Source organism: Homo sapiens, chromosome 15 (assembly GCF_000001405.40).
Source record: "Homo sapiens chromosome 15, GRCh38.p14 Primary Assembly".
Classification (NCBI taxonomy): Eukaryota; Metazoa; Chordata; class Mammalia; order Primates; family Hominidae; genus Homo; species Homo sapiens.
The window spans coordinates 72,020,339-72,035,732 of NC_000015.10; the positions used below are offsets into that span (position 1 = coordinate 72,020,339).

General features: G+C 37.8%; 1 protein-coding gene and 1 long non-coding RNA gene across 52 annotated transcripts in view, besides 1 other annotated feature; one reads left to right on the forward strand and one right to left on the reverse strand.

The window, feature by feature from the left end:
* The window catches only part of MYO9A (myosin IXA), a 296,310-nt gene that overhangs the window by 198,048 nt on the left and 82,868 nt on the right, over nt 1-15,394 (reverse strand). For all 50 annotated transcript variants that reach the window (XM_047432576.1, XM_047432553.1, XM_047432585.1 and 47 more), the window contains 3 exons: nt 12,156-12,250; nt 7,393-7,455; nt 580-679 (listed from right to left, as the gene is read on the reverse strand). In XM_047432576.1, the coding sequence (XP_047288532.1) occupies nt 580-679; nt 7,393-7,455; nt 12,156-12,250 (258 nt within the window). The remainder of the gene's footprint in view (nt 1-579; nt 680-7,392; nt 7,456-12,155; nt 12,251-15,394) is intronic.
* Nucleotides 1-15,394, forward strand: part of MYO9A-AS1 (MYO9A antisense RNA 1) — a 64,558-nt gene that overhangs the window by 48,132 nt on the left and 1,032 nt on the right. Inside the window, exon 3 of one of the 2 annotated variants that reach the window (XR_007064702.1) lies at nt 8,002-9,380. The exons of the other annotated variant lie outside the window; for it this stretch is intronic. This is a non-coding gene — a long non-coding RNA (MYO9A antisense RNA 1). Of the gene's footprint in view, nt 1-8,001; nt 9,381-15,394 lie in introns of those variants that run through there. 2 annotated transcript variants of the gene reach the window in all.
* Nucleotides 10,454-10,669: a silencer, noted in NCBI's record as "fragment chr15:72323133-72323348 (GRCh37/hg19 assembly coordinates)". NCBI's record gives its function as "represses an EF-1alpha promoter that drives an FKBP-Casp9 reporter gene in an ReSE screen in HepG2 liver carcinoma cells {active_cell/tissue: HepG2}" and the evidence as "EXISTENCE:reporter gene assay evidence [ECO:0000049][PMID:32094911]".

The following is a 15,394-nucleotide window of genomic DNA, read 5'->3' on the forward strand; positions in this document are numbered from 1 at the left end:
CAATGTGGAAGTTTAGGGATGAATTTTGAGTTTTGAGGAAAGATCCAAATTCTCTAAGTCATTTGCCTTTGATGACCTTCATACTGAATATTTAAGAAGATTGTTCATTAAATTATAAAAATAGTCATACTCTAAGTCAGTGTCATAGTATCATGCAAAGACGTATGTGTATGAGACTTCAAAACATGCAAATTAGGTTTCAAGTAATCCCTTGCAAAGGACAAGAATTAATCATTAGTAACATTTAATATCCTGGGGGTTGTAAAAGGTAAATCACTTTAGTAAAAGTAAAGCATTTTTCTAATACAGTAGAAATATCAATAAACAGCTTATTATTATTTTCCCAAAGAATCTCACAGAAAACGAAAAGCACATATATTATCTGAGCTTTTAACATTTATATGAGGATGGTAATCATCCTCAAATTTGAGAACTGCATCACCTAAATTTGTAGAGTACATATATGAAAATGCTAGCTAATCCATTCCTAGGTTTGAGAAAGTACTAGAAAAAAGACATTTTTCAAGCATTAAATTTAATACTGCCCTATACTTCAAAATGCTTTTTATGAACTCTCACCTGATTGAGATAATGATATTCCTCTGGTTGCTTAAGATGGAATGCTGATCTCTCATCTTCACTTGCTCCTGCCAGGAGGTAATAGAATACATGATAGTTCCTGTGGGAAACAAAGAAGTACAAGTTTCATAATGTGTGACTTATGGTTATCATTTAACAGGGGGAGGGGGGAAGCAAACAGTAATTAGTAAAATGTATCAGCTTTGCTTCATTTTTTAATATAAATGTGATAAATTCAGCGTTTAAGTACTCCTAAAAATTGAATGATGTTTTGGATGTGGAATACAAAAGAGAGGGATGAAGGCAGCAAAGTTAACAAAGTTAGGACCTCTGAAAATTCTCTTCTCCATAAAACCAATGAGAAATCTGGCAAATCTGTCATAATTAACCTTTTCAGAACTGTGGAAACTAATCGAAAGCTTGCAACAACCCAGAGAGTGTTTACTCAATAAAAAGAGCTAAATCTCAATAAAAATGGCTTTGTAGTGTTTTAAACTTGCCCTATTCCATCCCCTTGAAAACCAACAGCCTGCAAACTTGGAGATGAGAAGCCTGACAGCTACCAGAAAGGTCAGAACAGAGTTTGAGCTTGTTCAAAGCCTCATTCCCTAAGAAATATCATTATTTGAACTGTCTGGTGGTTCTCTGTGAACAGCCATATTCAAGGCTGACTCTACAAGATTCAATTCGGACTTCATATCATGCAAAGATCTTTTCCCCAGAGGCATCCATAGAAACTGAGGCAATCGCTGAACAGCCTACTTCCTAAAGCAGTGGATCAAAGTTGGGGCAAACAATAGGCTAACCAAGAAACTTAAAAGGAAAAGCTGGCTTTGAAAACCTCCAGTAAATGTCCTGGGAATCTAGAAGGTCATATGCATGCATAATGCTGTGGACATGCCCAGGGTTGTGTGTGCTCTCAGAAAAATAACAGATGAAATATAAACTCTCACCTCTGGTTAACTTTGAAACCCTGCACAAGCAGAAAATAAAGGCTAAGGTAGATTTGTGAAATACCTAGCTGAGTGTTGAAGGCATGGAACAATATACATAGAGAGCCCTGTGGCAAAGAGTGAGAGACTTACTTATTGTTTCCAAGCATTTAAATAAATATCTGTCCAGTTATTACCTGACATCTAAGTTAAATAAGCAGACACTTCAATAGCCACACTCAAAAAAGAATATCAACTTTATAAAATTAGTTCAGAAAAGTCACAATTAACAATCAGACAGTAGGAATAAAAGCAACAATCAAACCCTGGGAAGGAGAGGACTCATTTCTAGAGCTGCCACATTATATTATTTTAAAAATCAAATTTTTTGGCCAGGCGTGGTGGCTCACACCTGTAATCCCAGCACTTTGGGAGGCTGAGGTGGGTGGATCACGAGGTCAAGAGATCGAGATCATCCTGGTCAACATGGTGAAACCCCGTCTCTACTAAAAATACAAAAATTAGCTGGGCATCATGACGTGCGCCTGTAGTCCCAGCTACTCTGGGAGGCTGAGGCAGGAGAATCGCTTGAACCCAGGAGGCGGAGGTTGCAGTGAGCCGAGATCACGCTACTGCACTCCAGCCTGGTGACAAGGCGAGACTCTGTCTCAAAAAAAAAAAAAAATCCAATTTTGTTGTGTTTTGTTTCGTTTTTGTTTTGAGACAGGATAGCTGTCACCCAGGTTGGAGTGCAGTGGCATGCTCATGATTCACTGCAGCCTTGACCTCCTAGGCCCAAGTGATTCTCCCACTTCAGCCTCCCTAGTAGCTGGGACCACAGGTGTGCACCACCAAATCTGGCTAATTTTTGTATTTTTTGTAGAGACAGAGTCTCCCCGTGTTGCCCAGGCTGGTCTCGAACTCGTGGGGGCTCAGGTGATCTACCCATCTTGGCCTCCCAAAGTGCTGGGATTACAAGCGTGAGTCACCACACCCAGCCAAAAAAAATCCAGTTTTCAACAACAACAACAAAAAATTATAAGGCATGCAAAGAAAGAAGACAGTATAGCCGATACAAAGTAGAAAAAGTATTAATTAATAACTGTCCCTGAAAAAACCCAGACATTAGACTTACAAGATTTTAATCAGCTATTTTAAACGTGTTCAATGAACTACAGAAAGTCACATTTAATGAACTAAAGAAAACTATGAGAACGCTATCTCACCAAATAGAGACTAATATACAGGACTTTAAAGAAATTAATCCAAAAAGAATTCTGGAGTTGAAAAATATAACTGCAATGAAAAAGTATCCAGAGGAGCTCAACAGCAAATATGAGTAGGCAGAAGAAAGAACCAGTGAACTTGAAGAAAAAATCAACAAACATGAAGACAGGTCAATTGACTCTCGTCTAAGGAACAGAAGAAAAAATAAAATGGAGACCACAAGGTCTCAGAGACCTGTGGGACACCATTAAAAAGACTCCTATGGCAGGCACGGTGGCTCACACCTATAATGCCAGCACTTTGGGAGGTGGAGGTGGGTGGATCACCTGAGGTCAGGAGTTTAAGGCAGCTCACGCTTATAACCCCAGTACTTTGGGAGGCAGAGGTGGGTGGATCACCTGAGGTCAGGAGTTCGAGGCCAGCCTGGCCAACATGGTGAAACCCCGTCTCTACTAAAATTACAAAAAAAATAGCTGGGCATGGTGGCAGGCACCTGTAATCCTAGCTACTCAGGAGGCTGAGGCAGGAGAATCACTTGAACCCAGGAGGCGAAGGTTGTACTAAGCTGAGATCACACCATTGCACTCCAGCCTGGGCGACAAGAATGAAACTCTGTCTCAAAAAAAAAAAAAAAAAAGAAAAGAAAAAAAGGCTCCTATACTGGGGGTTCTAAAAGGAGAAAAAAGAAAGGGACATAAAGAATACTTGAAAAAACAATTGCCAAAATCTCTCTCCAAATTTGATGGAAAACATTAATCTGCACATCCAAGAAATTCAATGAACTCTAGAGAGTATAAACTCAAATCCACATTTTGACAAACCAAAATTCTTGAAAGGCAAAGACAAAGAATTTTGAAAGCACCAAGAGAGAAATTCCTCATCAAGGAATCCTAACATAAGATTAACAGCTGATTTCTCATCACGAACCATGGCAGACAGATAACGTATTCAAAACGTTGAAAGGAAAAAAAAATTGTCAATCAAGAAGTATATATCCAGGAAAAATAAAGGAGAAATTAGAATACTGCCAGATAAACAAAGTTGGACTTCACAGCTATAGATGGTCCTTACAAGAAATACTAAAGGGAGTTCATTTTTCTGACTGAAATAAAAGGATACTAGACAAGATTCAATTAAACATGAAGAAATAAAGAACACTGGTAAAAGTAACTACATAGGTAAATATAAAAGATAGTATAAATTAATTAACTCATTGATTGATTGATTGACAGGATCTCACTCTGTTGCCCAGGCTGGAGTGCAGTGGCATGATCTCGACTCACTGCAACCTCTATCTCGTTTCAAGTGATCCTCTCACCTCAGCCTCCTAAGTAGCTGGGACTACAGGCGTGCATCACCACACCTGGCTAATTTTTGTAGAGATAAGGTTTTGCCATGTTGTCTAGGCTGGTCTCGAACTCCTGGCCTCAAGTGATCTGCCCACCTTGGCTTCCCCAAAGTGCTGGGATTACAGGCAGGAGCCACTGCACCTGGCCTATTTTTTATGTATAACACTTTTTTCCTATTAAACTTGAGAAATTACATAAAGCAGTAATTATAAATGTGTTGATGGATGTACCACCATAAAGAAGTAATTTGCATAACAATTACAGGACAAAGGAGCAAGAAAGGAATAGAACTACATACAAAGTTTGTTGTATACTATCAAAATTAAGTTGTCATTATTCCAAACTACATTGTTATCAGATTTTAACTACAATGCCCAAGGTAACCAATAAGAATATAAAAAATAATAAAAAGAAATGCCAATGAAATTAAAATGGTACACTAGAAAACATTTATTTAATGCAAAAGAAGGCAGGAATAGAAGAACAGAAGAACAAAAAAAAATCGTAACACATATGGAGAACAAACAGCAAAATGGTATTAATAATCCTACCTTATCAATAATTACATTAAGTAGATCAAATGCTCTAATCTAAAGGTAGATAAATGGCAGAATGGATAAAAGGAAAATGTATGGTCCAACTGCATACTGTTTACAAGAGACAAGCTTTAGACTCAAAGACACAAATAGGTTAAAAATAAAAAGATGGAAAAAAAAGTTACCATGCAAGCAATATCCAAAAGCAAGCTAGAGAATACCAGATAAAACAATAATTACTAATTATTACTAATATCAGGTAAAATAAAGACCAAACTTGTTCCTAGGGACAAAGAAGGCCATCTTATAATGACAAAAGGGCCAATCCATCAAGAAGACATAACAATTTAAAATATACATAAATGTGTGTCTAAGAACAGAGCCCAAAAAAACATTGAGCAAAAAAACTTTTTTTTTGAGATGGAGTTTCGCACTGTCACCCAGACTGGAGTGCAGTGGCGAGACCTCGGCTCATTGCAACCTCCACCTTCCAGGTTCAGGCGATTCTCCTGACTCAGCCTCCCAAGTAGCTGGAAATACAGGCGCATGCAACCACACCTGGATAGTTTCTATACTTTTAGTTTCACCATGTTAGCCAGGCTGGTCTAAAACTCCTCATCTCAAATGATCTGCCTGCCTTGGTCTCCCAAAGTGCTGGGATTACAGGAGTGAGCCAGTGCACCCGGCCACAAAAAGAACTTGACAGAACTAAGAGAAGAAGCACACAATTCAACAATAATACTGAGAGACTGCAATACTCCACTTTCAATAATGAAGAAAGCAACTAGACAGAAGATGAACAAGAAAAAGAGGACTTCAAAATTACTATATACCAATTAGACCTAACATATGTTTATAGAACACTCCAGTCAACATAAGGAGGATATATTCATATATTTTTTCAAGTCCACATGGAGTATCCTCCAGGGTAGACCATGTGTAGTCTACTACAAAACAAGTCTCAATAATTTAAGGAGATTGAAATCATACAACTACTCCAAACACTTTGCAGTGAAATAAGAAATCACATTTCCACGGCCAGGCATGGTGGCTCACGCCTGTAACATTTTGGGAGGCTGAGGCGGGCAGATCACAAGGTCAGGAGATCGAGACCATCCTGGATAACATGGTGAAACCCCGCCCCTACTAAAAATACAAAAAATTAGCCAGGCGTGATGGCAGGCGCCTGTAGTCCCAGCTACTTGGGAGGCTGAGGCAGGAGAATGGCGTGAACCCAGGAGGCAGAGCTTGCAGTGAGCCGAAATCTCACCACTGCACTCCAGCCCGTGCCTCAGAGCAAGACTCCGTCTCAAGAAAAAAAAAAAAAAAAAAAAAGAAAGAAAAGAAATCACATTTCCAAAATACAAATACATGGAAATTTGACAACACATTCCTAAATAACCAGTGGGTTAAAGAAGTCACAAGCAAAATTATAAAATACTCCAAGATGCACAAAAACAAAACACTACACCAATACATGGAAAACAGTTGAAGCAGTGCTTAGAGGGGCTTTATACCTGTAAACCCATATAAAAAAGATCTCAAATCTATAACCTAACCATCCACCTTAAGAAACTAGAAAAAAAAGCAAACTAAACCCAAAGCAAGCAGAAGGAAGGAAATAATAAGCATCAGAGCAGAAATAAATGAAATAGGAAATAGGAAAAAAAATAGAGAACATCAATGAAACTAAAGATCGGTTCTTTGAAAAGATCTTCAAAATTAAACTTTTATCTAAACTGATGAGACAGACAGAGAAAGAAGCAGAGAGAATCAAATTCAGGAGTGAATGAAAGCGGAACATTACTACCAATCTTACATAAACAAAAAAGATTGTAAGGGATACTATAAAACAAGTTTTGGCAACAAATTAGATAACCTAGATGAAATGGACAAATTCCTAGAAAGATAAAAACTACCAAATCTGACCACAGATGAAACAAAAAGTCTGAACAGATCTATAATAACTAAAGTGTTTCAATTAATAATCAAAATTTCACACAAATAAAAGTCAGAACCAGATGGCTTTGCTGGTGAATTCTACCAAATGTTTAAAGAATTAACCCAATCCTTCACAAACTCTTCTAGAGAATTGGTTTGTAAAAACTGGATTTCACCTCTCATTCATTCTCCAAAACCAAGGAAATAAGAGTTATATACCCTTATTTCATTATCATTAAAATGTGTTAGAAAAAGTTACTAATAGTTTTCTATCTGTAAAATGGGAATAAATAACCAAGAAGCAGAAAAGTTAAATGAGATGCCCAAGGCATACCCAATATTTGAATGGAAGTCAAACCCTCTCTTAACCAAATCTCACTGTAGCATGAAACAAATCATGAATTTACTTCTTTATCTTATTTCTCCATCTGAAGGATACCACATATATCATCTCTAAAGACCTGTATACCTCAAGTAATACAATGGAATTAAGAGCTTTATTGAAAATTTTTTTTCTCAAGTTAGAAAAAGAACACTAAGGAAATGGGAGCAAAGTCCCAAGGCACATTGCTCACCAAGAGGAATGAGGAACAACTGAGAAACTGCTTACTTGTTCTGACAGTTTGCAATAGTTCTATATACCAAATAAAGATCTCCTAGCAGCCTCTGAAAAACTGCAAAGTTCTGCCCATGACAGAAATAGCAATTATGCATAAAGCTATGCATGACGTAAACTGAATTAAGGGTCATAATACACAAAGACCTTAAAAGTCAGTCTGCGTGATACAAATGTTAACTTCATCTAATTACACAAATAAAAATACGTACCGTTCATTATGCTCCTGATAAACGAGTCTGGACTTCTCCAGTAGATATTTTTCAACATAGGCACTACAAGAAAAATTAAATTGGTTGATATAAATAATAAAGTTTAATATAAGGCAGAAAAATATTTGGAGACAGTGTAAAAGTATAAAGAATACTATCCAGATCATTTCAAAATATGCGCCATTGGCCGGGCGAGGTGGCTCACACCTGTAATCTCAGCACTTTGGGAGGTCGAGATGAGAGGATCACCTGAGGTCAGGAGTTCAAGACCAGCCTGGCTGATATGGTGAAACCCCATCTCTAATAAAATACAAAAATTAGCCAGGCATGGTGGCAGGCACCTGTAATCCCAGTTACTCGGGAGGCTGAGGCAGAAGAATTGTTTGAGCCTGGGAGGCAGAAGTTGCAGTGAACCAAGATCAGGCCACTGCACTCCAGCCTGGGTGACAGAGTGAGAATCTGTCTCAAAAAAATAAATAAATAAATAAATATATATATATATATATATAAATATATATATGTACATACTATTATAATTGTGGTATGGGTACTGTTAGTGTTATCCATGTTAAATTCATATGGTCACGAGTCTTTTTTCTTTCACTAAAGCAAAATAAAATAAGAAGTTTAAACCAGGCCAGGCGCAGTGGCTCACACCTGTAATCCCAGCACTTTGGGAGGCCGAGGAGGGTGGATCACCTGAGGTCAGGAGTTCGAGACCAGCCTGACCAACATGGAGAAACCCCATCACTACTAAAAATACAAAATCAGCCAGGCATGGTGGTGCACGCCTGTAATCCCAGCTACTCGGAAGGCTAAGGCAGAAGAATCACTTGAACCCGGGAGGCAGAGGCTGCAGTGAGCTGAGATCATGCCACTGCACTCCAGCCTGGGCAACAAGAGCAAAACTTCGTCTCAAAAAAAAAAAAAGAAGTTTAAAACACAGTACACAAGATCCCTGAAGAAAGACTCTACATTATTTCTAGGCTATATACCACTACACATTCTTCCAGACATACTTTGGACAGATTACTACATAAGGCTCAAAGATATACATAGTTTCTTTTTATATATTTACGCTATTGTCACAGCCTAAAATCAATTTATTATATAATGATTTACTCTATAGTTATTTATTGGGCACTATATCAAGCACAAGGAATATGGAAATAAGTGATCTACTGCCTGTTCTCAAATGACTTACAAATTAGTAGAGAAAGGAGATAATCTAGCAGCTATCATACTGAGTTGATAGGGCTTATTGTAGAGCAATGACCAGGATATTATGCGTACACAAAGAGAGACACCTGAGATTCAATCCAAGAAGGAAAAAGGATGTAAAGAAGAATTCCCATGGATAAGTGAGTACACAGCACAGAGTAAACTTTCATTACATATATCTGGTGAAAGAGTGACTGGGTAAATGAATTCAAAATCTGAAGGATTAACCAGAAGGAAAGGAGAACTGCCTTTATGTAAAGTTATAAAGGAAGGAGGGTACACATACCAACTTCAGGGAAAACAATTAGTTACGTATCACTTAACTACAGAGGTACATTCTGAGAAATGCATCATTAGACAATTTTGTTGTTTGTCAGCATCACAGAGTGCACTTATACAACCCTGATAGTATAGCCTACTACACACTTAGGCCTTATCTTATAGCCTATTGCTCCTAGGTTACATAGCTATACAGCATGTTACTGCACTGAATACTATAGGCAACTGTAACACAATGGTAAGTATTTGTGCATTTAAACATAGAAAAAGTACAGTAAAAATAGGGTATTAAAATCTCATAGGACTACCATAGTATATGAGGTCCATCATCTACTGAAACATCACTGTGTGGTGTATGACCCAAGTTACGTATGACTAGAGAATGATATAGGTGGACGGACTACGATCAAGAGCTACTATACTATATGCCAGAAGAACGAACTTTATCCTGAAAGTAATGAGGAATTAAACATCAATTGTATATCTGATATTTTTTTCTCTTTATCCAGACTGTGCCCTCCAAGTCTTTAAAACTTCTTACCCAAATGGGTGCAATCAGCTAAGATCTCATTGGAAAGGGGTTCTAGAATCTGAAATGTAAAAGCTTTAGATTACTGAATCCAAATTATTAGGACAAACCTCTTAGAGGCCAGAATCTGACTCTTAAGCTGTATTTCTCCCAGTTGCCTCCCACCACATGCTATATACTTCAGTCACTCACAAACACACAATCCCTCAAAGATTCCATTCACTCCTAACTGCACTGCTCACTTTCTTCCTCCCACTTCCAATTCCCTAGTCTATTCCCAGTCTCTGTCCAGTAAATTGCATTCCTTCATTAAAATAAAGCTCAAATGTGGGTTCTTTGAAAATCCATTGCCACTACCACCACCAATAATTAAAATTTATTTCTTTTTCTGAATTACCATTGCCATTTCCAGTCTAAATTACCAAAACAGGCTCTTACCTGTCTAAAATGGGAGAAAGGAAATTAACATGAATATGTTAAATCCTCACAACCACCTTGCGTGGCAAATATTACTGCCCCTATTTTACAAGTATAGAAACTGATGCTGAAAGATATTAAGATCACACAGCTAGTAAAAAGCATAACTTTTAACTCAGGTTTGTTTTAACTACAAAGGCTCTCTTTTTCAACTACAGTAGCCCCCTTCCACTTTATTCATGGGGGATACATTCTAAGATGCCAACCACAAATAATACCAAACCCACATATATATCCCATTCTACATAATACATATCTATATACTATATCTATATCTATATATACATATATATATGGTTTTTTTCCTTGAACTTTGTTTTTTTGGAGGAGTCTTGCTCTGTCTCCCAGACGATCACAGCTCACTGCAAACTCCGCCTCCTGGGTTCAAGTGATTCTTCCACCTCAGCCTCCTGAACAGCTGGGTCCACAGGCACGTGCCACCACACCTGGCTAATTTTTGTATTTTTAGTAGAGATGGGCTTTTACCATGTTGGCCAGGTGAGTCTCCAACTCCTGACCTCAAATGATTTGCGTACCTCAGCCTCCCAAAGTGGTGAAATTATAGGGGTGCCTGGCCTGCGTCTTTTCTTCCTATACATACATACCTATGACAAAGTTTAATTTATAAATTAGGCACAGAAGACAGGGGGCCCCAACCCCCAGGGCATGGACTCGTAGCGGTCCATGACCTGTTAGGAACCGGGCTACGCAGCAGGAGGTAAGCGGCCAGCAACTGAGCAAAGCTGAGCTCCACCTCCTGTCAGATCAGCGGCGGCATTAGATTCTCATAGGAATGTAAACCCTATTGTGAATCACACATGAGAGTGATCTAGGCTGCACACTCCTTATGAGAATTTAATGATATATGTAACAAGCTTGAATCATTCCAAAACCATTCCTCCATCCCCCAGTCTGTGGAAAAATTGTCTTCGACGAAACCAGTCCCTGGCACCAAAAAGGTTGGGGACCACTGCAGTAAGAGATTAACAATAACTAATAATAAAATAGAACAACTAGGCTGGGCACAGTGGCTCATGCCTGAAATCCAAGATTAGCCTGGCCAACACAGTGAAACAGCATCTCTACCAAAAAATACAAAATTAGCCAGGTATGGTGGTACACGCCTGTAGTCCCAGCTACTCTAGAGGCTGAGGCAGGAGAATCACTTGAACCCGGGAGGAAGAGGCTGTAGTGAGCCGAGATTGCACCACTGCATTCCAGCCTGGGCAACTGAGTGAGACCCTTCTCAAAAAAAATAAATAATAAATAATAAAACAATTATAACAATACACTGTAATAAAATGTATGTGCATGTGGTCTCTGTCTGAAAACATCTTACTGTACTATACTCAACTATCTTTGGGTAACTGAAGCTGCATAAACTGAAATCACAGATAAGGGTGGTGGTAGGGGGAGTTTAAAGGAATATAGGGGAATTTGCTGTACTTTTCCACTTATTTTTGCTGTGAAGCTACCACTGCTCTAAAAAATAGTCTATTTAAAAAAAAAAAACTATGAAGAATATTGCTCACACAACCAGAGGACTCTGAACATAGACTATATAATAAGAAACAATATTGTAACAAAATTAAATTTCTCGAATATAATAATATGGTTATATAGGAAAATGTAGATTAGAAAATACCAACTTACTTGAAAACAACTTTTTATTTTTTTATTTTTTTTGAGAGACAGAGTCTCGCTCTGTCGCCCAGACTGGAGTAAAGTGGCACAATCTCAGCTCACTGCAACCTCCACCTCCCAGGTTCAAGAGATTCTCCTGTCTCAGTTTCCTAAGTAGCTAGGACTACAGGTTTGCGCCACTGTGCCCGGCTGATTTTTGTTATTTTTTAGTGGAGATGGGTTTTCACTATATGTTGGTCAGGCTGGTCTCCAACTCCTGACCTCAGGTGATCCACCCACCTCAGCCTCCCAAAGTGCTAGGATTACAGGTGTGAGCCACCATGCTTGGCCTTGAAAACAATTTTTTAAAAGAACAAATGTATGCATAATATATAGAAAGCAAATGCAACACATTGACAACAATCAAATCTAGGTTAAGAGTATGTGTGACTGTTACATTGGTGTTAAAATTTTTCTGAGGTTTTAACTTTTCCAAAACTAAAAAAAGTTGACAGGGAAGAATTTTAATGCTGACACCAATGTCTGGGAATGAACAATACATAGTTTATAAAAGGGTAAAGACAAAAATTAAAACATGCTCCAAAGCCTACGCCTGCTAAGTAGCAGTACTTACCCAAGTACAGTGCCTGTTTCCTGGTAATTTACTTGAATAAACTTCCCAAAACGACTTGAATTGTTATTATGAGCTGTCTTTGCATTTCCAAAGGCCTGTCAAAATAAATAATTCTCATTAGTTTCACTAAAAAAAAAAAATTTTTTTTTGGAGGGGGGATTAGGTCAGCTGCTTAGGTCAGCTCAGAGACAAAATGTTAAAGAGACAGTAAAAAGACAATTTGCTTGTATGTTCAGACTCATTCACAGTTCAGGCAAAATTTTTTTAAAAAAAAAGCAATTAACAACTGAAAGAAGATCAAGTAGATTTTATTTTGTGCTATTCAGTAAAATAAACCATAATTTTATTTTATGTTATTTATTTATTTATTTATTTTGGAGACAGAGTCTCACTGTCGCCTAGGCTGGAGTGCAGTGGTGTGATTTCGGCTCACTGCAACCTCTGCCTTCTGGGTTCAAGCAATTCTCCTGCCTCAGCCTCCCGAGTAGCTGGGACTACAGGCCCACGCCGCCAAGCCTGGCTATTTTTTTGTATTTTAGTAAAGATGGGGTTTCAATGTGTTGCCCTGGCTGGTCTGGAACCCCTGAGCTCAGGCAATCTGCCTGCCTCGGCCTCCCAAAGTGCTAGGATTACAGGTGTGAGCCACTGCACCCAGCCAAAATAAATCATAATTTTAAAAATGTAATGTTCTTTAAAGTTTGGATTTCTCTTTCACATTCCAGAGCCCCCCTACAAAAAAGTCTTAATATATTTATACTTTTACTTTTTAAAAAATTTGCTAAACTGAAGTAACAAGGAGTTAGGAAAATAATAATTACATCAAAATAATTACAATTTTAGAATAGAATGAAATGAAATTCCAGTACATAATGTACTATACTTTATTATGCCTATTTAAAACAAAGCTAGAGTACTCATTACAAAAGAATAAGAACTATAAACTTCCTAAATCGTCACCCAAAGTATGTACCTTACAATGGAATACTGCCCAGGAATAAAAATAAACTAATGATATCAACAAACACTATGCTAAGCACAAGAAACCAGGCACAAAGTACATATCATATAATCTATTTATATGAAATTCTAGAAAAGGCAAAACAAGAATAACAGGAAGCAGATCAGCGGTTATCTGGGAATCCGGGTGGAATTGAGAAATATCTACAAAGGGGCACAATGGGTGATAAAGATAATCTATAGCTCAATTCTGTGATGGTGGTCACATGGATATATACATTTATCAAAATTCACTGAGCTGTACGCTTTAAATGTGTAGATTTTATTGTAAGTTATAGCTCAATATAGCTCAATGAAATTTAAGATGTAAATGTTTTTAAAAATGAAGCCACTGCCCTAGCCTGAGCAATCACATTATACTTGAAGAAACAAAACTAGAAAAGACACAGAGATGATTCATTGCGGAGCTTTTTTCTTCTCCTACAATAATCTCATGGGAATGGCATGCCCTCTAACTCCAAAATCCTAAAGTAGCCATTTACTGAACACCTCCCTAAATGCAAAGCTGTTTGTGCTAAACTGTAACTGTGCAGAGCATATATACACGGACGCACGCACACATACAAGACAAGGCGAGGACGTCAACCAAGCTGATGCCCCGGCAACTACATCTGTACTCAAGTAGTCGTACTCAACTACAACTGTATCATGGTCCTGAGACCAGAAACATCAGCATCTCCTGAAAATTTGTTAGAAATTCAAATTCTTGGGTCCCTCACAAAACTATTGAATGAGAAACTCTGAGGATAAGGTCCAGCAATCTGTGCTTATAAAACCCCCTTCGAGTGGTTCAGATGTAAGCCAAAGTTTGACAACCACCGCTCTACTTATTATGCATGCATTTACATTTCTGAGAAATTACATTTTACTATGTCTTAAGAAATTATTCTATAATGATAGCAGCAAATGCAAAGATTCATAAAAATCTCCAGAAATGTCCCTCATGAATGTTTAGATTATACTGTATCTTAGTAAGTCATGGAAAAGAGCCCAGGCTCTCAACCATCACCGAACCATCTGCAAACTATATACACAAAAAAGCTTGACATTGCTGAGTCCTGAATGCCTAGAACAGTTTGTCCATTCTGCTTTTTCCCTTTCCACCATAGAAAGTTTTTTACAAGGAATTTAGAAAAACCACATAGCACAGATTAATAAAATGTAGAAACAAACAGAAACATACATTTCATCAAAGAAATATTCATTTAAGTGTCAAATGCATTACATTTTGAAAAAACTTACAAAATAAAACCGTGGGCTTGGAGATACGAAATATGGATGTGTGATGTACTACTCTTATTTTCATATATGCTACTTTTGATTCTGCCCAAGGCTACAATGTCAACAGCAAATCAGAAGCTTTACCTGTTACTTAACCTGTGATTGCAATACAACTTTTATCACTACATAAAGTCATTTAGGGCCATTTTGAGAGGTAGGCTTGCAATAGTTACTTCACCAAATAAGTTATATGGGTGGCAAATAAGCATGAGAAAGCATGTTCAACATCACCAACTATTACAGAAATTCCGTCAAGACCACAATGAGATACTACTACACACCTATTAGAATGGCTAAAATAATCAACAAAAATTGACAATGCCAAGTGCTGCTGAGGATGCAGAGGAACTAGAACACTCATACAGTGCTGGTGGAAATGCAAAATGGTAGAACAACTCTGGAAGACAATCTAACAAAAAGTAAAACATTCACAGAAAGTTAAACACACTCTTAACAATATGACCCAGCGATACCCCTCCTGGCTATTTACTACTGAGAAATACAAATTTATATATACATACACATCAAGGCACAAACATTATCATCAGCTTTTTGACAGTCAAAGCTTGAAAATAACGAAATGTCCACCAACAAATGAAGGATTTAACAAACTGTGATTCATCTAAATAATGGAATACTACTCACAAGCAAAATAAACAACTGCCGTATTTTAACAACCTGGATGAATTTCAAAGATACAACACTGAATGAGAGAAATCAGTCTCAAAACTTTACATGTGGTGGTTCACATGTGTAATCCCAGCAATTTGGGAGGCCAAGGGGACAGAACTGCTTGAAGCCAGGAGTTTGAGACCATCCTGTGCAACATAGGGAGACCTCATCTCTACAAAAAGTTTTTAAAAATTAGACCAGCATGGTGGCACACACCTGTAATCTCAGCTAATCTGGAGGCTGAGGTGGGAAGATCACTGAAGTCTAGA